Source organism: Homo sapiens, chromosome 1, assembly GCF_000001405.40.
Source record: "Homo sapiens chromosome 1, GRCh38.p14 Primary Assembly".
NCBI lineage: Eukaryota > Metazoa > Chordata > Mammalia > Primates > Hominidae > Homo > Homo sapiens.
In genome coordinates this window covers 38,910,007-38,930,984 of record NC_000001.11, presented here as the reverse complement: position 1 = coordinate 38,930,984, position 20,978 = coordinate 38,910,007, and the positions used below count along the sequence as shown (strand labels likewise).

At 45.6% G+C, this 20,978-nt stretch overlaps 1 protein-coding gene, 1 long non-coding RNA gene and 1 pseudogene across 4 annotated transcripts in view; 1 reads left to right on the top strand and 2 right to left on the bottom strand.

The window, feature by feature from the left end:
- RHBDL2 (rhomboid like 2) overlaps nucleotides 1-20,978 on the top strand; it is a 56,024-nt gene that overhangs the window by 10,846 nt on the left and 24,200 nt on the right. The window contains exons 1-4 of one of the 2 annotated variants that reach the window (NM_001304746.2): nucleotides 1,466-1,590; nucleotides 11,648-12,018; nucleotides 15,275-15,423; nucleotides 19,551-19,663. In NM_001304746.2, coding sequence (NP_001291675.1) covers nucleotides 1,476-1,590; nucleotides 11,648-12,018; nucleotides 15,275-15,423; nucleotides 19,551-19,663 — 748 coding nt within the window. In that variant the 5' untranslated portion in view covers nucleotides 1,466-1,475. Of the gene's footprint in view, nucleotides 1-1,465; nucleotides 1,591-11,647; nucleotides 12,019-15,274; nucleotides 15,424-19,550; nucleotides 19,664-20,978 lie in introns of those variants that run through there. The other variant, NM_017821.5, reaches the window with a different exon arrangement.
- RNU6-605P (RNA, U6 small nuclear 605, pseudogene) lies at nucleotides 4,008-4,115 on the bottom strand (annotated as a pseudogene).
- Nucleotides 11,456-17,445, bottom strand: LOC105378662 (uncharacterized). Of its 2 annotated transcripts, none has more exons than XR_001737994.2 (2): nucleotides 17,357-17,445; nucleotides 11,456-11,811 (listed from the first exon to the last, which is right to left on the bottom strand). It is a non-coding gene; the product is annotated as an uncharacterized LOC105378662 (long non-coding RNA). The 2 variants fall into 2 exon arrangements; XR_947215.2 differs by lacking the exon at nucleotides 17,357-17,445 and adding an exon at nucleotides 15,718-15,832.

Here is a 20,978-nt window from a genome sequence, read left to right as displayed (position 1 = left end):
GATGCAGGTGGTCCATGACAGGGTGACCAACACCCTTGGCTTGCCCTGATTTTAGCACTAAAAGTCTCACATCCCAAGAAACTCCTAGTCCTGTGCAAACCAGACAGTTGGTCATTATCAGTGGACCACTATTGAAAAAAAAATTCTACACGAAGCAGTGAAAGCCTTTTTTGAGAAATGCCCACAAATATCTACTGAAAGCCATGATTTTGTCTCCTTACTTAAGGGCCTGGGCCAACTGTCCTTGAATTAAGGGGGAAGTGGCTCAGGGTCACTGTTTTCCTTCAGCCCTGTGCTCTGGTGTGCTAGGTCTGTTAACTCATGTAAATAGTGTGTCTGTCTTTGGGAATTCTTTCAGACTATATCCCTTAGTGCGCACACCACAGCTTTGAAAGCCCAATCACCATCAACAAAGATGATGTGTTTAGGATAATACAAGATACAGGATGAAATTCCTATGTCTTCTGCACCATTGTGTATTATTATTACTATTACAAATACTATAATAGGGTACACAAATATATGTAATATGTTAAATAGCTGTGGGGCGGCCCAGACTCTGGTCTGAGATTCCCAGGTTTGTGCCCCAGCTTTGCTGTACCTAGGTATGTAATCATGGATGCCTCTTTTTTGCCCTAGTTATTTACCTGTAAAATGGGAATAATAAAGAGGTCTTCACAGAGCAGACGGGAGGATCCAGAAAATAATAAAAGCGAAAGTGGTTCTGTAGAGTGAGAAGGCTGAGTATTATGATGGTCTTTGAATGGGAAGGACTTGAAGACATTATTCCGCCGAGAGGCCCTGCATGTGACTGGGGCTCTGGTCCCCCTACCCTGAACCATAGCCCACCTGTGAAGTTTCAAGGAAGAAACTTTTGACGCAGAGTGGACCATGGAGAGAGCTCAGGAAGCAGAGTTCTCTACCTTAGCTGCCCTTACTGCTGATGTCAAGTGTGCTTTGCTTCAGCAAAAAGCAAAGCTTTTGGAAACGGGGGTTTGTGAAGGCATTTTTTGTTTTCAAATCTTTTGCCTATTTATTCCAAGTGTATCCTCAGAAATGCAGCCAAAAGAAAACAACCACAACCACAAACCTGTAATATTGAAAAGCCAGTTCTTAATTTCTGTAGCTAAAAAAGCATCCTTTCAGGCTGTAACCACAGAGAGATTGCTGCAGGCCTCTGGCATAATGATGGTTTGCAGTGTGATGAAGGAGGCTGCTAAGCTCTGTGGCCCAGAAGTCCAATCCTGGCCTCTCCAATTACCCAGGCGCCTAGCAACACCACCGAAAGTCTCCCTGGCAGCCCCAGCTGGGCAGCAATTGGCTACACCCAGCACAGCCCGCTGCCCAGCCTCCTGAGCTCCCCAGCCACATCAAGGCGGGTCTCAGCCCCGGCAGGGGCCTGCCTGGTACCAATGAATGGGTGGGGCCAGCTGTTTAGAAAAAACAATTCAGATATTTAAAACCTCCCTGTTTGAATGCAGCTAGGCAAGCGGCACAAGCTCACAACTAAAAGTGTCTGCCATGGAAAAGGAGTTGTCATAAGGGTGTTGGCCTTGCCAGGGCCTTCCTGGGTGAGGCGAAGAAGGGAAGGTGAGCCTGATTTAGTCCTCTGGCTTCTCAAAGAGGCAAATCCTTTTCCCGTCCTGGACGCTTGTGTCCACCTAGAGTCCTCGTCGTAGCAGTGGGGATGGTGGGAATTCCCAGCCCCATCTTCTCCCAGGGGTAGTGACCTGCCACTTCCTCTACAGCTTCCGTTCGGGAATTCACAGGGTCTAGTCTGGGACTGTCTAGGCAGCTGGAGGAAAAAGAGGGAGCTAAGAGTACAGGAAAGGATGGGATGAAAATAACCAAAAAGAAGATTCACACTTCTTTTGTTTAAATTTTTATTTTTATTTTTATTTATTTAGGTTTTGGAGACAGGGTTTCGCTCTGTCACCCAGGCTGGAGTGCAAGTGGCACCATTGTAGCTCACTGCAATCTTGAACTCCCCGTTTCAAGTGATCCTCCTGCCTCAGCCTCCCGAGTACCTGGAAGTGCAGGTGTGCACACCACTGCACCTGGCAAACTTTAATTTTTAATTTTTTTTTGTAGAGAAAGGCTTTCGCTGTGTTGCCCAGGCTGGTCTCAAACTCCTGGCCTCAAGCAATCCTCCTGCCTCGGTCTCTCAAAGTGCTAGGATTACAGGCATGAGCCACCATGCCTGGCCCATTATTTTTTATTTAAAATTTTTTTTTTACATGGCCAGGCACAGTGGTTCATGCCTGTAATCCCAGCACGTTGGGATGCCGAGGCGGGTGGATCACCTGAGGTAGGGAGTTCGAGATCAGCCTGACCAACATGGAGAAACCCCATCTCTACTAAAAATACAAAATTAGCCAGGCGTGGTGGCGCATGCCTGTAATCCCAGCTACTCGGGAGGGTGAGGCAGGAGACTCTCTTGAACTTAGGAGGTGGAGGTTGTGGTGAGCCAAGATCGTGCCATTGCACTCCAGTCTGGGCAACAAGAGCGAAACTCTGTCTCAAAACAAAACAAAACAAAACATGGCCGGGCGCCGTGGCTCACCCCTGTAATCCCAGCACTTTGGGAGCCCGAGGCGGGTGGATCAAGAGGTCAGGAGATTGAGACCATCCTGGCTAATACGGTGAAACCCCGTCTCTACTAAGAATACAAAAAAATTAGCTGGGCGTGGTGGCAGGCACCTGTAATCCCAGCTACTTGAGAGACTGAGGCAGGAGAATCGCTTGAACCTGGGAGGTGGAGGTTGCAGTGAGCCAAGATCGCACCACTGCATTCCAGCCTGGGCGACAAAGCGAGACTCCGTCTCAAAAAAAAAAAAAAAAAAGAAAGAAAAAAATTTACATTTTAAAATCTTCAATTTATTTATTTATTTCAGAGACAGGATCTTGCTCTGTTGCCAAGGCTGGAGTAAATTTTCATTTTTAACTCTAATCCCATCACAGTTGAAGGAGTACCTTTCTATAACACTTGGTGCGTAGAAATCACAGGGGCTGTGGAACATGTGGGGGCTTTGGAGTCAGGCGCCCGAGACTCTTCTCCCAGCCCTCCCCTTATTAGCTGTGAGACCTTGAGTAAGTTACTTTGGGAGCCTGGGTTTCTTTATCCTTAAAATGGGAATATTATTACCCTGCTTTACAAAGTGGTAAAAATTAATGAAGACAATGCTCATAAAGTGTTTAGCCTGGATGCTGGCACACAGTAAGTGTTTATTATTCTAGTACCTCTTTATTATTTTATTTGATTCTTACCACAATTCTGTAAGATACTCAGGGCAGAGGTGAGCTCTGTTTTACAGCTGAGGAAACTGAGGCCCAGTGGAAAACTAAATGTGGATGCTGGGAGTAGAATTCAGGTCTTTATAGTGTCAAACACAAGGCAGGCTATTCTTCAAAGGCAGATGGCAAGCCCTTTTTTTGGTAGCCATTATGACATGGCAGCTTCACAGTGATGGTGCCCAGTGATGGTAGAATGATAATGGAAGTGGTGCGGCCTTGCAGAGGAAAAGGTTGGTAGGAGGCTCTTTTCTTTTCTTTTTTTTTGAGATGGAGTCTGGCTCTGTCGCCCAGGCTGGAGTGCAGTGGCGCGATCTCGGCTCACCGCAACCTCCGCCTCCCAGGTTCATGCCGTTCTCCTGCCTCAGCCTCCCGAGTAGCTGGGACTACAGGCGCCCGCCACCACGCCCGGCTAATTTTTTGTATTTTTAGTAGAGACGGGGTTTCACCATGTTAGCCAGGATGGTCTCGATCTCCTGACCTTGTGATCCACCCGCCTTGGCCTTCCAAAGTGCTGGGATTACAGGCGTGAGCCACCGCGCCCTGCCCGGTAGAAGGCTCTTTTCAACATAAAGTCACACAAAGACTTAGTCAATGTGTGGTTGGAATTCCTCCTTCCCCCTTTTCCCTCCTCTCTTTCTCTCCCTGTCTCTTTCCCTCCCTTTCTTCCAGAAGCATTCCTTTTAAAAAACATTTTTAAAAAAATAACTCTGATGTTTTGTATGGAATGCTTCACGAATTTGCGTGTCATCTTTGTGTAGAGACCATGTTAATCTTCTCTGTATTGGTCCGGTTTTTAGTATATGTGCTGCTGAAGCGAGCACCACAAGCATTCTTTTATTGATTGATTGGTTGAGATAGGGTCTCGCTTTATCACTCAGGATGGAGTGTAGTGCCACGATCTTGGCTCACTGCAACCTCCACCTCCCGGGTTCAAGCGATTCTCCTGCCTCAGCATCCCCAGTAGCTGGGATTAAAGGCATCTGCCACCTCACCTGGCTAATTTTTTGGGTACTTTTCGTAGAGATGGGGTTTTACCATGTTGGTCAGGCTGGTCTCGAATGCCCGACCTCAGGTGATCCGCCCGCCTCTGCCTCCCAAAGTGCTGGGATTATAGGCGTGAGCCACCGCGCCCTGCCCGAGTCAGGTTTTTTTATTGCAAAAGATGGGAACTGATTCTGGCTAATTAAATCAGGAAATGAATTTTATTGAAAGCACATTGAGTAAGTTACAGAATCACTTGAAGGCTGTAGAAACAAGGCTTGGGAAAAAAGCAGAAACAGAGACCAGGTACCTAGAATTACACCAAATTCCATCACAGAGCCAGATAGGTGAGGACAGCCTCAGTGCTGCTGCTGCTGAACGCCCAGTGCTGCTGCCTTTGTCACAGCCACAGCTGGCGTTGGATGCTGGATGCCATGCTGACCCCAGTGGCAAGGCGTCTGGACACTGGATACTGCTGCCACTGCTGCAACCACTGTAAAGAATTTTTTCCATCCTCACCTCCAGCCTCAGAAATCCTAAGCAAATGCAGCTGATTGGTCAAGCTGCCCTAGCTGCCTAGGGACATGCAAAAGTGAATATTGGGCATGGTTAATGTCTGTAGTGGGATCCGTTTCCTGCTGCCCACCAGGAGAAGATAAATTCCCCAAGAAAACTGACAAATGACGACTACGTACATGTTGTCAAAGAATCCACTGGAAGTCTTTGACATTTGCAGATTCAACACTTGCAATTTTGGTAATTTATTAGTTACTCCCAAAGGCCCATTATAAATGAATATGAGTTGAATGATTGGCTTTGCCTGTTAGTGAGCCAGGCCTACTGCTCTGCCTGGATATCTCACATGACTGTTATCCTTTATGTAGTTTGCATGCAGTGATTAAAATATTTGTTTCTTGTTTGCAGAGTAGAAAAGATTCATAAAATAAATAATCCAATAGTGCCAGTGATATAAACAAAGAGAAAGTGGGGAGGTATAAGACAGTAACTTTGTTTTTTGGCTACAAATAGAAGTTTTGGATAAATTGGCATGCTGTGTCAAGTTCAGTGGTGTCTAAGATCCCTGATATCATTAGATCCACCATGTGTGTCACTGAGATACAAGGAAAAGTTGTTCAGTGAGTGCATCAGCCAGGCTGCTCATCAAGAGAGAGATTAACCTTTTTTTTTTTTTTGAGACAGAATCTCACTCTGTCGCCCAGGCTGGAATGCAGTGGCAAAATCTCAGCTCACTGCAACCTCCGCCTCCCACTGCAACCTCCACCTCCTGGGTTCAAGAGATTCTCCTGTCTCAGCCTCCCGAGTAGCTGGGATTACAGGCACATGCCACCACTGCCGGCTAATTTTTGTATTTTTGCTAGAGACAGGGTTTCACCATGTTGGTCAGGCTGGTCTCGAACGCCTGACCTCAAGTGATCTGCCTGCCTCGGCCTCTCAAAGTGCTGGGATTACAGGTGTGAGCTACCATGCCTGGCCTGGCTATACTTTACAATGTAATTTTGGGAGACACTATGTGGTATGTAGTGCATTAGGGCATCTGAAAGGTCTGGAAAAATCTCTTGCAAATGTCAGGAGTCTCCTATGTAAATCTCTTTATAGAAATCTCTTTTCGGCTGGGCATGGTGGTTTAAGCCTATAATCCCAGCACTTTATGAGGCCTAGGTGGATGGATCACTTGAGGTCAGGAGTTTGAGACCAGCCTGACCAACATGGTGAAACCCTGTCTCTACTAAAAATACAAAATTAGCTGGGTATGGTGGTGCATGCCTGTAACTTCAGCTACTTGGGAGTTTGAGGCAGGAGAATTGCTTGAACCTGGGATGTAGAGGTTGTGGTGAGCCGAGATCGCACCATTGCACTCCAGCCTGGCAACAAGAGCAAAACTCAATCTCAAAAAAAAAAAAAAAAAGAAAAAAGAAATCTCTTTTCAACAGATTTTTTTTTTAAGGTAGTCAATTGTCCTGAGTAAATGAGCACAGTCCTGCCCTTTCAAGTCTTTGGCCAATACACTGGCTCTGTGATTGTTAACAAGTAATGCTTATTCTAGGCAAAGTCAGGAAGTAGCAAAGTTCCTTCCGTGTTTCCTTGTTTTTTTTTTGAGACGGAGTCTTGCTCTGTCGCCCAGGCTGGAGTGCAGTGGCGCAATCTCGGCTCACTGCAACCTCCGCCTCCTGGGTTCATGCTATTCCCCTGCTTCAGCCTCCCGAGTAGCTGGGACTACAGGCGCCCGCCACCACGCCTGGCTAATTTTTTGTATTTTTAGTGGAGATGGGGTTTCACTGTGTTAGCCAGGATGATCTCGATCTCCTGACCTTGTGATCCGCCTGCCTCCGCCTCCCAAAATGCTGGGATTACAGGCGTGAGCCACTGTGCCCAGCCCTGTGTTTCCTTTTAAGAGTACTTGTGGCCAGGTGGGATCTTTCTATGTTTCCTCTTGAGAATACTTGTGGATTACAGGCTCTCTCACACCTGTAATCTCAATGCTTTGACAGGTCAAGCAGGGAGGATCCCTTGAATTCAAGGGTTTGAGACTAGCCTGGACAACATGGGGAGGCCACCATTTCAAAATAATAATAATAATAAAGTTTAAAAACTTTTTTTTTTTGAAAAAAGAATACCTGCCAACCATGAAGGAAAGGGTTTTGGTTCTTTTCTCTCCCTCCCCAATCCTTAGAACCCATGAAAGGGTTTTGGTTCTTGGTGTGCATAAGGAACATTTCCATTTTTAACCAGAAGGCTAGAGACATTCTAACAATCTACTCAGTTGTTCCCTACCTGTAGGATGAGAACTTCTCGCAGCAGTGCCACCCAGTTTTGATCTGTGTATGCGAGGCCTTTCAAAAAAGAGTGGGCAGCAACTTGCTGCAGATAAGAGGTAGGAGGTTTGCTTAGTGAGTAAGAAAGCAGAGTCAGTGCAGTAAATCTCCACCCAGTGAATGACACCCAATAAGTGAGTGCTCGAGTGCCAAGTAAATGAATGGACAGATGTTGATGCTTGAATATTTCTTTGAGACTAGAATGTGTTGTAATCATTATTTTGTTTTGAGACTCCTGCTCCATTCAATTGGGCTTCCAAAAATTCTGGTAATCTGACGTGTGTTTCTGAACGCTGTATCCCAAGTTTGACCTATAGAGCCCATGGAGTTTATATACAGGCCATGCCCAAGGAAGGACAAAATTAATGACAACATGACCTTCGATTAGATTTGCTTTGTGAGGCTCCAGGGAGGGAAACCTTGGACCCAGGAGCTGGTGAATAGATTCCAGCAGTGTAAGGAAGAACTACCCATGAATTAGAACTGTTAGAAAATACAGCAACCCCGCTGAAGTCCATCTAGGTTGTTTATAATTCTTCATGGCTATGAATAGTTCTGCATGAATATCCTTGTAATATACCATTGTGTATGTGCTCAAATACCTTTGAAGGGTGGATTTCTAGAGGTTGGATGTTTCTGTTGAAAGGTATATGCTTTTAATAGTTTATACACATTGGCCAATTGCTTTCCAAAAGGCTGCATTAATTTATACCTCATACATTGCACCCATTGCCACACACCTCATAAATATGGGATATTCTCAGCCTTTTTTTTTTCTTTTTTTTGAGATGGAGTTTCACTCTTGTCGCCCAGGGTTGAGTGCAATGACACGATATCAGCTCACTGAAACCTCTGCCTCCTGGTTTCAAGTGATTCTCCTGCCTCAGCCTCATGAGTAGCTGGGATTACAGGTCTTGCTACCATGCCCAGCTAATTTTTGTATTTTTAACGGAGATGGGTTTCACCATATTGGCCAGGCTGGTCTTGAGCTCCTGACCTCAGGTGATCCACCGACCTCGGCCTCCCAAAGTGCTGGTATTACAGGCATGAGCCACTGTGCCCGGCCTAAGTCTTTTTCATTGTTACCAATCTAATAGGTAATATTTCCTCAGAAATTCAGGAGTGGGGCAGAAGATAAACGTGAGCGGGAGAGATGAGGAAATGTTAGAGACTGGAAGGAGCACCTGTGAGCATTATAGCACCAGGTATTGGAGATAAGATAAATCAGAGAGAGGCCCCTGTTCTCAGGAAACAGGGTGGAGAGGTATGGAAGTTGGAGGATGATAGTAATTGAGAAGAGAGGTAAAACCAAAATGCAGTGGCTCACACTTGTAATCCCAGCACTTTGGGAGGCTGAGGCGGGAGGATCGCTTGAGCCCAGGAGTTTGAGACCAGCCTGGGTAACACAAGAAGACCCCATCTCAACAAAGAAAAAAAAAATAGCTGGGTATGGTGGTGTGTGTGCTTGCAGTCCCAGCTACTTGGGAGGCTGAGGTGGGAGGCTCACTTGAGCCTGGGAGGTAGAGGCTGCAATGAGCCGTGATCCTGCCACTGTACTCCAGCCTGGGTGACAGGGAGAGATCTTGTCTCAAAAAAATTAAATAAAAAAACCCCAAATGTTTCTAATTGCTAGTAATGTGCTCATTTGGTGCTAGAGCCTGAAGTAGCTAGAACTACATGTCTACTTTACAAGGCAAGGCAGAAAGCAGACATGCAGTGAGTTTTGGCTAAACCGGTTGGGTCAACTATCTTTGCAGCACAGGAAATATATTTAGGCACTAACATATTTAAAATGGTGGTCTTGAAGTTGTAAAATTTCTGGAACTGTTGAAATCCCAAGATAAGGGCAAATGTAATCCTTATTTTTGTAGCTCCTTTTATACAGTTGTATTGTTAACAATGTGACATTTTATTTCCTCATAAAATGATTATGTATGATATTTAGATACAAAAAGGCTGATTTATACAATGTGAACTGTCCCTAATTGAACTTATTTTTAAAATGCTTTAATATTTGTGGTTAAAAGCTGCTGATCTTAAATCCACATTGTAGTTTTGTCAATTATGAGACGTGGCAAAAAGTAGAAAAAAATCATCAGTCTTCAAGGGAAATTAATAAAAGAGTTATATCTATGGACTGAATGTCTGACTCTGGGAGGCGGGTGAGTGGGTGGGTGAAAAATGCAGGGGAGAGAAAAAGCCTTTATTTTCAGAAAATTTGCTGGGGAAAAGAAAAATAAGATGTCTCTTCCTCAATTTATTGAATATAACCTATTCTAATGTGAAAACTTGCCTAATGAGTTTCATTTGAAAATCAGTTGAATTTGATCTGATTCCCAGTAACATGCAGTGTGAAAACAGGCGCCAGGCTCAGCTCCATGCCTTCCATCTATCCATCCATCCATCTAAAACTCATTCATCCATCCACAGCCAATAACAACTAATAATTATAGGGTGTTTACTACGTGCCAGATACAGTTCTTTTCTTTTTCTTCGAGACACAGTCTTGCTCCATCACCCAGTCTGGAGTGCAGTGGTGTGAATTTGGCTCACTGTAACCTCTGCCTCCCAGGTTCAAGCGATTCTCCTGCTTCAGCCTTCCTTCAGCTGGAAGTACAGGCACGTGCCACTATGCCCAGCTAATTTTTGTATTTTTAGTAGAGATGGCGTTTCACCAGGTTGGCCAGTCTGTTCTGAAACTCCTGACCTCAAGTGATGGGATTACAGGCGTGAGCCACCACGCCCGGCCCAGATACTGTTTTAAGTGCTTTACATGCATTATCTCAAGTAAGCTTCCCGGCAATGTTATGAAGCAAGTGCTATCATTATCCTCAGTTTAAAATGGAATCTGAGGGTTTCCCAACAAGTTAAACATAGAATTAATTACCATATGACCCAGCAATTCCACTCATAGGTATATGCTCCCCCTCAAACTGGAAACTGATGTTTAAAGAAAACTTGTGCCAGGTGCGGTGGCTCATGCCTGTAATCCCAGCACTTTGGGAGGCCGAGGCGGGCGGATCACGAGGTCAGGAGATCGAGACCATCCTGGCTAACATGGTGAAACCCTGTCTCTACTAAAAATACAAAAAAAAAAAAAAATTAGCCAGGTGTGGTGGTGGGCACCTGTAGTCCCAGCTACTCAGGAGGTTGAGGCAGGAAAATGGTGTGAACCCGGGAGGCGGAGGTTGCAGTGAGCCGAGATCACACCACTGCTCTCCAGCCTGGGCGACAGAGCGAGACTCTGTCTCAAAAAAAAAAAAAAAAAGAGAAAACTTGTACAGGGATGTTCACAATAGCGAAAAGGTGGAAACAACCCAAATGTCCATAAACAGACGAGTGGATAAACAAAATGTGGCGTGTCTATACAATGCAATAGCATTCAGCCATTAAAAAAAGGAAATTCTAGGCCAGGTGTAATGGCTCATGCCTGTAATCCCAACACTTTGGGAGGCCGAGGCAGGTGGATCACTTGAGGTTGGGAGTTCGAGACTAGCCTGGCCAACATGGTGAAACCCTGTCTCTACTAAAAATACAAAAATTTTCTGGGTGTGGTGCCGGGTGCCCATAATCCCAGCTACTTGGTAGGCTGAGGCAGGAGAATCGCTTGAACCTGGGAGGCAGAGGTTCCAGTGAGCCGAGATCGCACCACTGGACTCCAGCCTGGGTGACAGAGCGAGACTACATCTCAAAAAAAAAAAAAAAAAAAGAAAACATGTGAAGGAAGCCAACCACAAAAGGCCACATACTGGATGGTACATATGTATTGTATGATTTCATTTATGTGAAATATCCAGTATAGGTCAATCTATAGACACAGAAAGCAGATTAGTCGTTGCCAGGGACTGTGGTAAGAGGAGAATAGGAATTAACTGCTTAACAGGTATGGGTATGGGGTTTTTGTTTGTGATGAAAAAGTTTTGGAACTAGTGGTGATGGCTGCACAACATTGCAAATGTACTCAATGTCACTGAATTGTACACTCTAAATGGTTAAAAACAGGGCCGGCTTCGGTGGCTCACGCCTGTAATCCCAGCACTTTGGGAGGCCTAGGCGGGTGAATCACTTGAGGTCAGGAGTTCGAGACCAGCCTGGCCAACATGGTGAAACCCTGTCTCTACTAAAAATACAAAAATTAGCCAGGGAGGGTGAAGCAGAAGAATTGCTTGAACCCAGGAGGCAGAGGTTGCAGTGAGCTGAGATCTCGCCATTGCACTCCAGCCTGGGCAGAAGAGCAAGATGACTCCACCTCATAAAAAAAAAAAGAAAAAATATATATTATATATTAAATGGCGAAAATGGTAAATTTTATGTTATGTGTATTTCACCACAATTTAAGAAATATGTAATTTGAGGCTTGGAGAATTTAATTAAGTGATTTATCTGATGTTAACTTACAGCTGATACATGGTAGAGCTGCATTTTAATCTCAGTCATCTGGCTCTTTTTAAAACAATTACATAGAAAACTTTATTTTGGGCCATTTAGGAGGTTTAGATCATTTTGATCATCTTCAGCTGTCTTCTCTTCACATACAGGAAAGGCCTTGGAAAGCAGTCGTTGCGCCAGACAGCCCAGGGAAGAGCGGCAGCCTGAGGACCTAGGGCCACCTGCTGTTCCCTGGGATTCATGTCCTTCTGGGGAGGAGGGAGGACCCAGGACAATGGCTGCTGTTCATGATCTGGAGATGGAGAGCATGAATCTGAATATGGGGAGAGAGATGAAAGAAGAGCTGGAGGAAGAGGAGAAAATGAGAGAGGATGGGGGAGGTAAAGATCGGGCCAAGAGTAAAAAGGTCCACAGGATTGTCTCAAAATGGATGCTGCCCGAAAAGTCCCGAGGAACATACTTGGAGAGAGCTAACTGCTTCCCGCCTCCCGTGTTCATCATCTCCATCAGCCTGGCCGAGGTGAATGGGGAGCGGGGTGGGCACCGGGGTAAGTGGCATGGGGAAGCTGGGAACAAACTAGGGGTCAGATCTAGATCTAGAGAAGAGACTGGGAACATGGGAGAGAGCTTCGTGGGGATGGGGACAGCACACACCTCACCTCTGCCTCTGCTCTCCCCACAGCTGCCTTTGAGGCTTTCCCTATACTCACGGTCACTGCCAACCCAGGGTGGAGTTTCATTTGTCAGACAAATCTGCCCAGCTGTGGCTGCAATTTCAGTGGCTTCCTTTCATTTTAGTTGTGAGGTCTTTAGGAAGCAAATCATTCTGGGGTTGCACAAGGGCTTTCTCTCATGAACCGATTTAGGCTGGTTGGTAAGGCATTTCTGGGACCCCAGGTTTAGAAGTGTTATAGAATTCTTCTGAATTTCAGTAGGAAAAAAACGGGATCCTTTAACAATGTCTACTTCAGGCAGCACGTGGTGTGTTTTCAGGCTCTGATCTAGTCAGTCCTCTTGTTTTCCAGAAAAGACTGCAAGGCTCAGAGAGGTGGGATGACTATCCCAAGGTCACATCATAGTCACTGGGCCAGGATGAGGCTCCCCTGTACCTCGTGGCACCTAGTTTTTTCCCCCACACTTGATGTCCTATAAAGGAACTGGCCAACCATGGCTGCCTGTGGAGTGTGACTTCAGGGGCATTAGGAAGTTCCTAATGTAACCCTTTTAGTTCCCACTGATGCACTGATGCCTCAGCTTCCTTATCACAAACTGTATTAGTCAAGAGTTCTTCAGAAAAACAGAATCAATAGGTGTGTGTTCCCTGGGGGAAGAGAGATTAATATTTATTTTAAGGAATTAGCTCAAATGATTATGGAGACTTGGCAAGTCCAAAATCTTCAGGGAAGGCTGGCAGGCTGGAGGCCCAGGGAAGACTTGCCATTCAAGTCCAAAGGTAGAGTTCTGCTGGCAGAATTCCCTTTTCCTAACAGAGGACAATCTTTTCTCTAGCAAGGCCTTCAACTGATTAGACAAGGCTCACCCACAGTATGGTGGGAAATCGGCTTTACTCAAAGACTACTGATTTAAATATTAGTATAAACCATACCCTCACAAAAACACCTAGGATAATGTTTAAGCAAATGTCTGGGTAGCATAGCCTAGCTAAGTTGACACATAAAATTAACTGTTGCAGGGACCAAGCCTCTTATGGCTCAGACAAAGGTAAGGCTAAGGTGTAAGCATCCTGGGAGATGCTGTGGTCAAGTCTGTTTAGGGTGAAGGGGCACAGTTCTAATTTTTTTCACAGGATTTCACTGTGAGACTGCTTGCAACTGGGAAGTCGTCCGGATCTGAGACATCTGTATCTGTTTTTTCTGCTTCTCCTTCCTGTTATCCTTCTGGCCTATGGGTTGTCTTGTGTTTCAATCAGCTGTGTGTGTGTCTTGTCCAGGTGAATGGGGAACAATGAGATAAGGTATCGTGGTACAAACCTCAATTGCCTAGGCAATGAGTGCTATGGAGGAGGGCAGTTTGCCATAGGAGGCTCATGGAGCAGATGCTGAGATACCTGCCTCTCACAGAAAGACCAATTTTTAAATTAAAAATTTTAATTTTGGAATAATTTTACCTCTATAGAGATATTGTAAAGATAGAACAGAAAGTTCCTGTAGGCCGGGCGCAGTGGTGCACGCCTGTAATCCCAGCACTTTGGGAGGCTGAGGTGGGCGGATCACAAGGTCAGGAGATTGAGACCATCCTGGCTAACACGGTGAAACCCTGTCTCTACTAAAAATACAAAAAATTAGCCGGGCATGGTGGCGGGCACCTGTAGTCCCAGCTACTTGGGAGGCTGAGGCAGGAGAGTAGCGTGAACCCAGGAGGCAGAACTTGCAGTGAGCTGAGATCACGCCACTGCACTCCAGCCTGGGCTACAGAGCAAGACTCCATCTCAAAAAAAAAAAAAAAAAAGAAAGTTCCTGTATGCCTCTCACCCAGTTTCTCCCATTGTTTATATCCTACATTTCCATAGTACATTGTATTTTTTTCTTTTTTTTCAAACCCAGGATAATCTCTGTATATAGTACATTACATTTCCATAGTATTTTTTTTTTTTTTTGAGATGGAGTCGCTCTGTCGCCCAGGCTGGAGTGCCAGTAGTGTGATCTCAGCTCACTGCAACCTCCGCTGTCCAGGGTCAAGTGATTCTCCTGACTCAGCCTCCCAAGTAGCTGGGATTACAGGTGTGCACCACCACGCCTGGCTAGTTTTTTTTTTTGTTTGTTTGTTTTTTTTGTATTTTTAGTAGAGATGTGGTTTCGCCATGTTGGCCAGTCTGGTCTTGAACTCCTGACCTCAGGTGATCCACCTGCCTCAGCCTCCCGCCAAAGGGCTGGGACTATAGGCATGAGCCACTGCGTCTGGCCCCATAGTACATTTGTCAAAACTAAGAAACTGACATTGGCATATTCCTAACTAAACTCCAGATTTACCTGGATTTTTACCAGTTTCTCCATTAATGTCCTCTTTCTGTTCCTCTGGTACCCACTCCATTTAGCTGCCATGTCTACCCAGGCTCCTCTGATCTATGGCAACTTCTCAGTCTTTGTTTTTCATGACTCTGATAGTCTTGAGGGGGACTGGCTAGGGATCCTGTAGAATGTCCCCCAGCTGGGGTTTGACTGATGCTTTTCTCGTGATTTAACTGGAGTTATGAGTTTGGGAGAAGAATACCACGGAGGTGAAGGGCCCTTCCCATCACATAGCCTCAGAAGGTTGAGGACATCATGTGGCATCACTGGGACATTCACCTCCATCCCTTGGTTAAGGCAGGGTTTGCCAGGTCTCTCCCCTGGCAAGTGACTATTTTTCCCTTTCCCTGCTCTATTATTCGGAAGCCAGCATTGACCTACTTTCATAGCAAGTTGTAAATGAAAGATCAGTTGGTGCGACGATGAGGGCAGTGGGTATTTAAGAGGGAGAGGGTAGTAGAGAACGTAGTGCCAGAGAGCAGGGTGTCCAAGAGCAGGGCAAAAGGGGTTCAGAAAGTCTTCCTTACAATGTGAGCTAGCACTGCTCCCAACCATCAGAGGAAGTGGGGTACGGTGGAAACCATCACAGAGGGGATGGTGAAGAAGTGTATTTCATGTCACCTTCTGGCACTATGGTGTGGCCCACTTGAGAGCTGAATCATCTGAAACAGTTACTGCCCACGGGCTTGGATGGGGCCCCTCTCTGGAGAAGGTGTGGTTAATACTCATGTCTGCTCCCTCCATCAGCTGGCAGTGTTTATTTACTATGCTGTGTGGAAGCCTCAGAAACAGTGGATCACGTTGGACACAGGCATCTTGGAGAGTCCCTTTATCTACAGTCCTGAGAAGAGGGAGGAAGCCTGGAGGTTTATCTCATACATGCTGGTACATGCTGGGTAAGCAATGATAGTTAAGCCCCTGGTATCAGAGGTGATTATATCATTGTAACCTCTAACATTTGTTGAGTGCTTTATTATTGATAAGGCACTTTCATGTCCATAATCTTCACAGCAACCCTAAGGGGTAGGTATTGCTCCCACTGTTTTATGTCTGAGGCATAGGAGATGTAGTCATGGAGGCTGAGGTGGGCAGATCACTTGAGGTCAGGAATTCGAGACCAGCCTGGCTGATATAGTGAAACCCCATCTCTACTAAAAATAAAAAAATTAGACAGGCATGGTGATGCATACCTGTAGTCCCGGGAGGCTGAGGCAGGAGAATTGCTTGAACCTGGGAGGCGGAGGTTGCAGTAAGCCGAGATCGTGCCATTGCACTCCAGGCTGGGGGACAAGAGTGAGACTCCATCTCAAAAAAAAAAAAAAGATGTAGTCACTTGTTCCAAGTCACACAGCTAAGTTGCAGAGCTAGGACCTCAGCCCACTAGTGCTAACTCTAAGGCCAGCATCCTTTCTTACTTTTTTTTTTTTTTGAGATGGAGTCTCGCTCTTGTCACCAGGCTAGAGTGCAGTGGTGTGATCTCGGCTCACTGCAACCTCCGCCTCCTGGGTTGGAGCGATTCTCCTGCCTCAGCCTCCTGAGTAGCTGGGATTACAGGCACCTGCCACCAGGCCGGGCTAATTTTTATACTTTTAGTAGAGACGGGGTTTCACCATGTTGGCTAGGCTAGTCTTGAACTCTGACCTCAGGTGATCCATCCGCCTTGGCCTCCCAAAGTGCTGGGATTACAGGTGTGAGCCACTGTGCCCTTAAGGCCAGTATACTTTATATTGCATTATAACTGCCCAATATTAGTATTTAGGAATATTAATGAGAAGAGATCAAATCATTGCAAAACCAAAAGCATGTTCCCCTAGTTGTCTAATGTTGTTAAATATACTCTTTAGGCTATGAAAATGGTGGTGCTGAATAACCAGTCTCCTCCTCCACCATCATACATCAAACAAAATTTAGTTCATGGCCGGGCACAGTGCCTCACACCTGTAATCCCAGCACTTTGGGAGGCTGAGGTGGATAGATCACCTGAGGTCAGGAGTTCAAGACCAGCCTGACCAATATGGTAAAACCCCGTCTCTACTAAAAATACAAAAACTAGCTGGGCGTGGTGGCATGCGCTTGTAATCTCAGCTACTCAGGAGGCTGAGACAATAAAATTGCTTGAACCCAGGAGGCGGAGGTTGCAGTGTGCCGAGATCGCGCCACTGCATTCTAGAGTAGGTGACAGAGTGAAACTCTGTCTCAAAAATAAAATAAAATAAATTTAGTTCATGAACATATTGATGAGTGTGGGATACTGTTATCCATCTGGAATAATACTGGTAATAGGAGATGCAGTGCCCGCCATTTAGTTTTGCCTACAGTTTCTTTCTTTCTTTTTTTTTTTTGAGATAGAGTCTAGCTCTATCGCCAGGCTGGAGTGCGGTGGTGCGATCTCGGCTCACTGCAACCTCTGGCTCCCTGGTTTAAGCCATTCTCCTGCCTCAGCTTCCCGAGTAGCTGGGATTACAGGCACGTGCCACCACGCCCAGCTAATTTTTGTATTTTTAGTAGAGACGGGGTTTCACCATGTTGGCCAGGATGGTCTCAATCTCCTGACCTTGTGATCCGCCTGCCTTGGCCTCCCAAAGTGCTGGGATTACAGGCGTGAGCCACTGTGCCCGGCCGCCTATAGTTTCTTAAATGCCGATGGCCTTTCATGAACTCACTCAGCATCCATGATCCACCATGCCCACTGCAGACAGCGAGCAGCTTCCTGTTGGCCCCACCTATCCGGTGGACTCTTGTGGTCTCAGGTGGGGCCAACCTTTTCTGTGCAGTCTACCCAACTCTGGACTTGAAAACGACTTGTAGCTGGGGTGTGGTGATGTGTACCTGCAGTCCCAGCTACTTGGGAGGCTGACGAAGGAGGATCGCTTTGAGTCCAGGAGTCTGAGACCAGCCTGGGCAACATAGAGAGTGCTCTACAAAAAAAAAAAAAAGTTAAAAATAAATAAAAAATAAAATAGAAAGGATGACACTTTTGCTTAGTGGCTAAATAGGCATCAGGACACATGGCTCAGAGGCTTGACAAATCAGGGGCAAAATCACCAACTGCTCAGTTTCCATTTAACAAGTATGTTCTGAGCAAACATGGCTCCCGCACACAAGGACTTTAAGATGATAAGAAGGAACATGTCAGTTAAATAGCAATGTAAGGCAGTACAGTATTATAGTATATAGTAGGCTGGGTGCAGTGGCTCATGCCTTGTAATCCCAGCAGTTTGGGAAGCTGAGGTGGTCACCTGAGGTCAGGAGTTTGAGACCAGCCTGGCCAACATGGTGAAACCCCGTCTCTAGTAAAAATACAAAAATTAGCTGGGCGTGGTGGCAGGTGCCTGTAACCGCAGCTACTTGGGAAGCTGAGGCAGGAGAATCGTTTGAACCCAGGAGGTGGAGGTTGCAGTGAGCCGAGATCGCGCCACCGCACTCCAGCCTGGGTGACAGAGTGAGACTCTGTCTCAAGAAAAAAAAAAAAATACACACACACACACACACACGTGTATATGTAAATACACACACACACACACACACACACACACACACACACACATATATATATATATATATATATATATATGGTATATGGTAGTTACTTAGCTTCCTTGTCCTTTAGTTTCCTCAGGTGTAAAATGGAGTAATATGAATAGTACCTACCTCATAAAGTTGTTGTGATTAAATGAGATAATGGCTATAATTTTCACTGTGCCTAACACATAGTAAGGCACTTAAAAAGAATCTGTGGCCAGGAGCAGTGGCTCACACCTGTAATCCCAGCCCTTTGAGGGGCTGAGGTGGATGGATTGCTTGAACCCAGGAGTTTGAGACCAGCCTGGGTGACACGGTGAAAACCCCATCTCTACAAAAAAATAAAATAAAATAAAAAATTAGATCTGCACAGGGTGTGTGCCTGTAGTCCCAGCTGCTGGGGAGGCTGAGGTGGGACGATTAAGGAATCCTCAGGCCCAGGAGATGGAAATGTAGTGAGTCGAAATCGAGACACTGCACTCTAGCTTGGGTGAAGGGAGTGAAACCCTGTCTCAAGAAAAAAAAAAAACGGGCCAGGCGCGGTGGCTCATGCGTGTAATCCCAGCACTTTGGGAGGCCAAGGCGGGTGGATCAATGAGGTCAGGAGTTCGAGACCAGCCTGACCAACATGGTGAAACCCCATCTCTACTAAAAATACAAAAATTAGGCCGGGCATGGTGGCTCACTACTGTAATCCCAGTCTTTGGGAGGCTGAGGCAGGTAGATCACCTGAGGTCAGGAGTTTGAGGCCAGCCTGACCAACATGAAGAAACCCTGTCTCTACTAAAAATACAAAATTAGCTGGGCATGGTGGCGCATGCTTGTAATCACAGCTACTCAGCAGGCTGAGGCAGGAGAATCGCTTGAACTCAGAAGGTGGAGGTTGCAGTGAGCCGAGATCATGCCATTGTACTGCAGCCTGGGCAACAAGAGCAAAACTCCGTCTACCAAAAAAAAAAAAATTAGCTGGGCGTGGTTGCAGGCACCTGTAATCTCAGCTACTAGGGAGGCTGAAGCGGGAGAATCGCTTGAACCCAGGAGGCAGAGATTGCAGTGAGCCAAGATCATGCCATTGCACTCCAGCCTGGGCGACAGAGGGAGACTTCGTCCAAAAAAAAAGAAAAAAAAATTAGCCAGGAGTGGTGGCACATGCCTGTAGTCCCAGCTACTTGGGAGGCTGAGGCATGAGAATTACTTGAACCCTTGAGGCAGAGGTTCTGGTGAGCAGAGATTGCACCACTGCACCCCTGGCTGGGAGACACAGCAAGTCACACACGCGCGCGCGCGCGCACACACACACACACACACACACACACACACACACACACACACAGAAAAAAGAAAAAGAAAAAAAGAGTTGTCTGCGAAGAAAAATTAGAAAATGGAATTCTAGTTAAGCAAATCCTTAACTAGAGAAAACACATGAAAGTCTGTTCATCTCCCAGGGAAATAACTGCTTGGTTTAGTCATAATATTTGACAACTATTGTTTGTCTTTGCAGAGTTCAGCACATCTTGGGGAATCTTTGTATGCAGCTTGTTTTGGGTATTCCCTTGGAAATGGTCCACAAAGGCCTCCGTGTGGGGCTGGTGTACCTGGCAGGAGTGATTGCAGGTCAGTGTTCTGAGGTAACACAGAATCAATACCTCTGGGCTCTTAGGATTAAAAGCAAATGAAATACACACTTATAGTAGGCTTCTTTAAGTCAAGGTTTACTGCACTCCTAATATGTGCTCGGGAACACATTAAGCCTTAGAGATCATTGAATTAGAGATACTATCAGCAAGCAAAGACAAGTCATTGTGCCTGTCCTCAGGTATCTCACACTCAAGACAGGGTTTTGCATAATTGAAATTGCAAGTATGCCTGGCGCTCCTGCCTGTAATCCCAGCACTTTGGGAGGCTGATGTGGGTAGATCACACGAGGCCAGGAGTTCGAGACCAGCCTGGCCAATATGGTGAAACCCTCTCTCCACCAAAAATACAAAAATTAGCTGGGGGTGGTGGCTCACCCCTATAATCCCAGCTACTCAGGGGGCTGAGGCACCAGAATCACTTGAACCTAGGGGGCGGAGATTGCAGTGAGCCAAGATTGTGCCACTGCACTCCACACTCTAGCCTGGGCAACAGAGCGAGACTCTGTCTCAAACAAACAAACAAACAAAAAAAAAAAAAAAAAAAAGAAAAGGAATAAAGAAAACTGCAAGTAGTTTGGTGTACAGGTACGTATTTGAGTAAAGGTCTAAAGCCAGATCATGGAGGCCCTTATATGTCAGACTACTGATTTTGAGAAGTAACATGATCAGATTTGCATTTAAGAAAGACAACTTTAAGAGAATGTAGAGAATAACCAAAGGGGCTCTAAGACTGGGTAGGTAAAAGTAGCATACGTCAGTGATCCCTAAATCTGGGTGTGCCTAAGATGATCCATTATGGCATGGGAAGAAAATATTAGAACTCCCATCCATCCATTTGTTTATTTATTGGAAACATTTTTTTAAAAAATTAAACTTTTAATTTTGCGATAATTGTAGATTTACATGCAGTTGTTAGAAATAATGCCTAGAGGTCTTATGTACCCTTTAAACCAGCGATCCCCAATGGTGACATCTTGCAAAACATTAGTACTGTATCACAACTAGGATATCCACGTTGATATAGTCAGGGTACAAAACATTTTCAAACCATATGGATCCCTTATGATGCCTTTTTATAGCTATACCATCTTCTGTCCCACCCTCCTTTACCTCTGGCAACCACTAACCTGTTCTCCATTTCTATAATTTTGTCATTTGAAGAATATTATATAAATGGAATAATCCGGTATATACCCTTGTGGGATTGATTTTCTTCACTCAGCATAATTCTCCGGGGATTCATCTAGGTTGTTGCATGTGTCAATAGTTTATTCCTTTTTATTGCCCAGTAT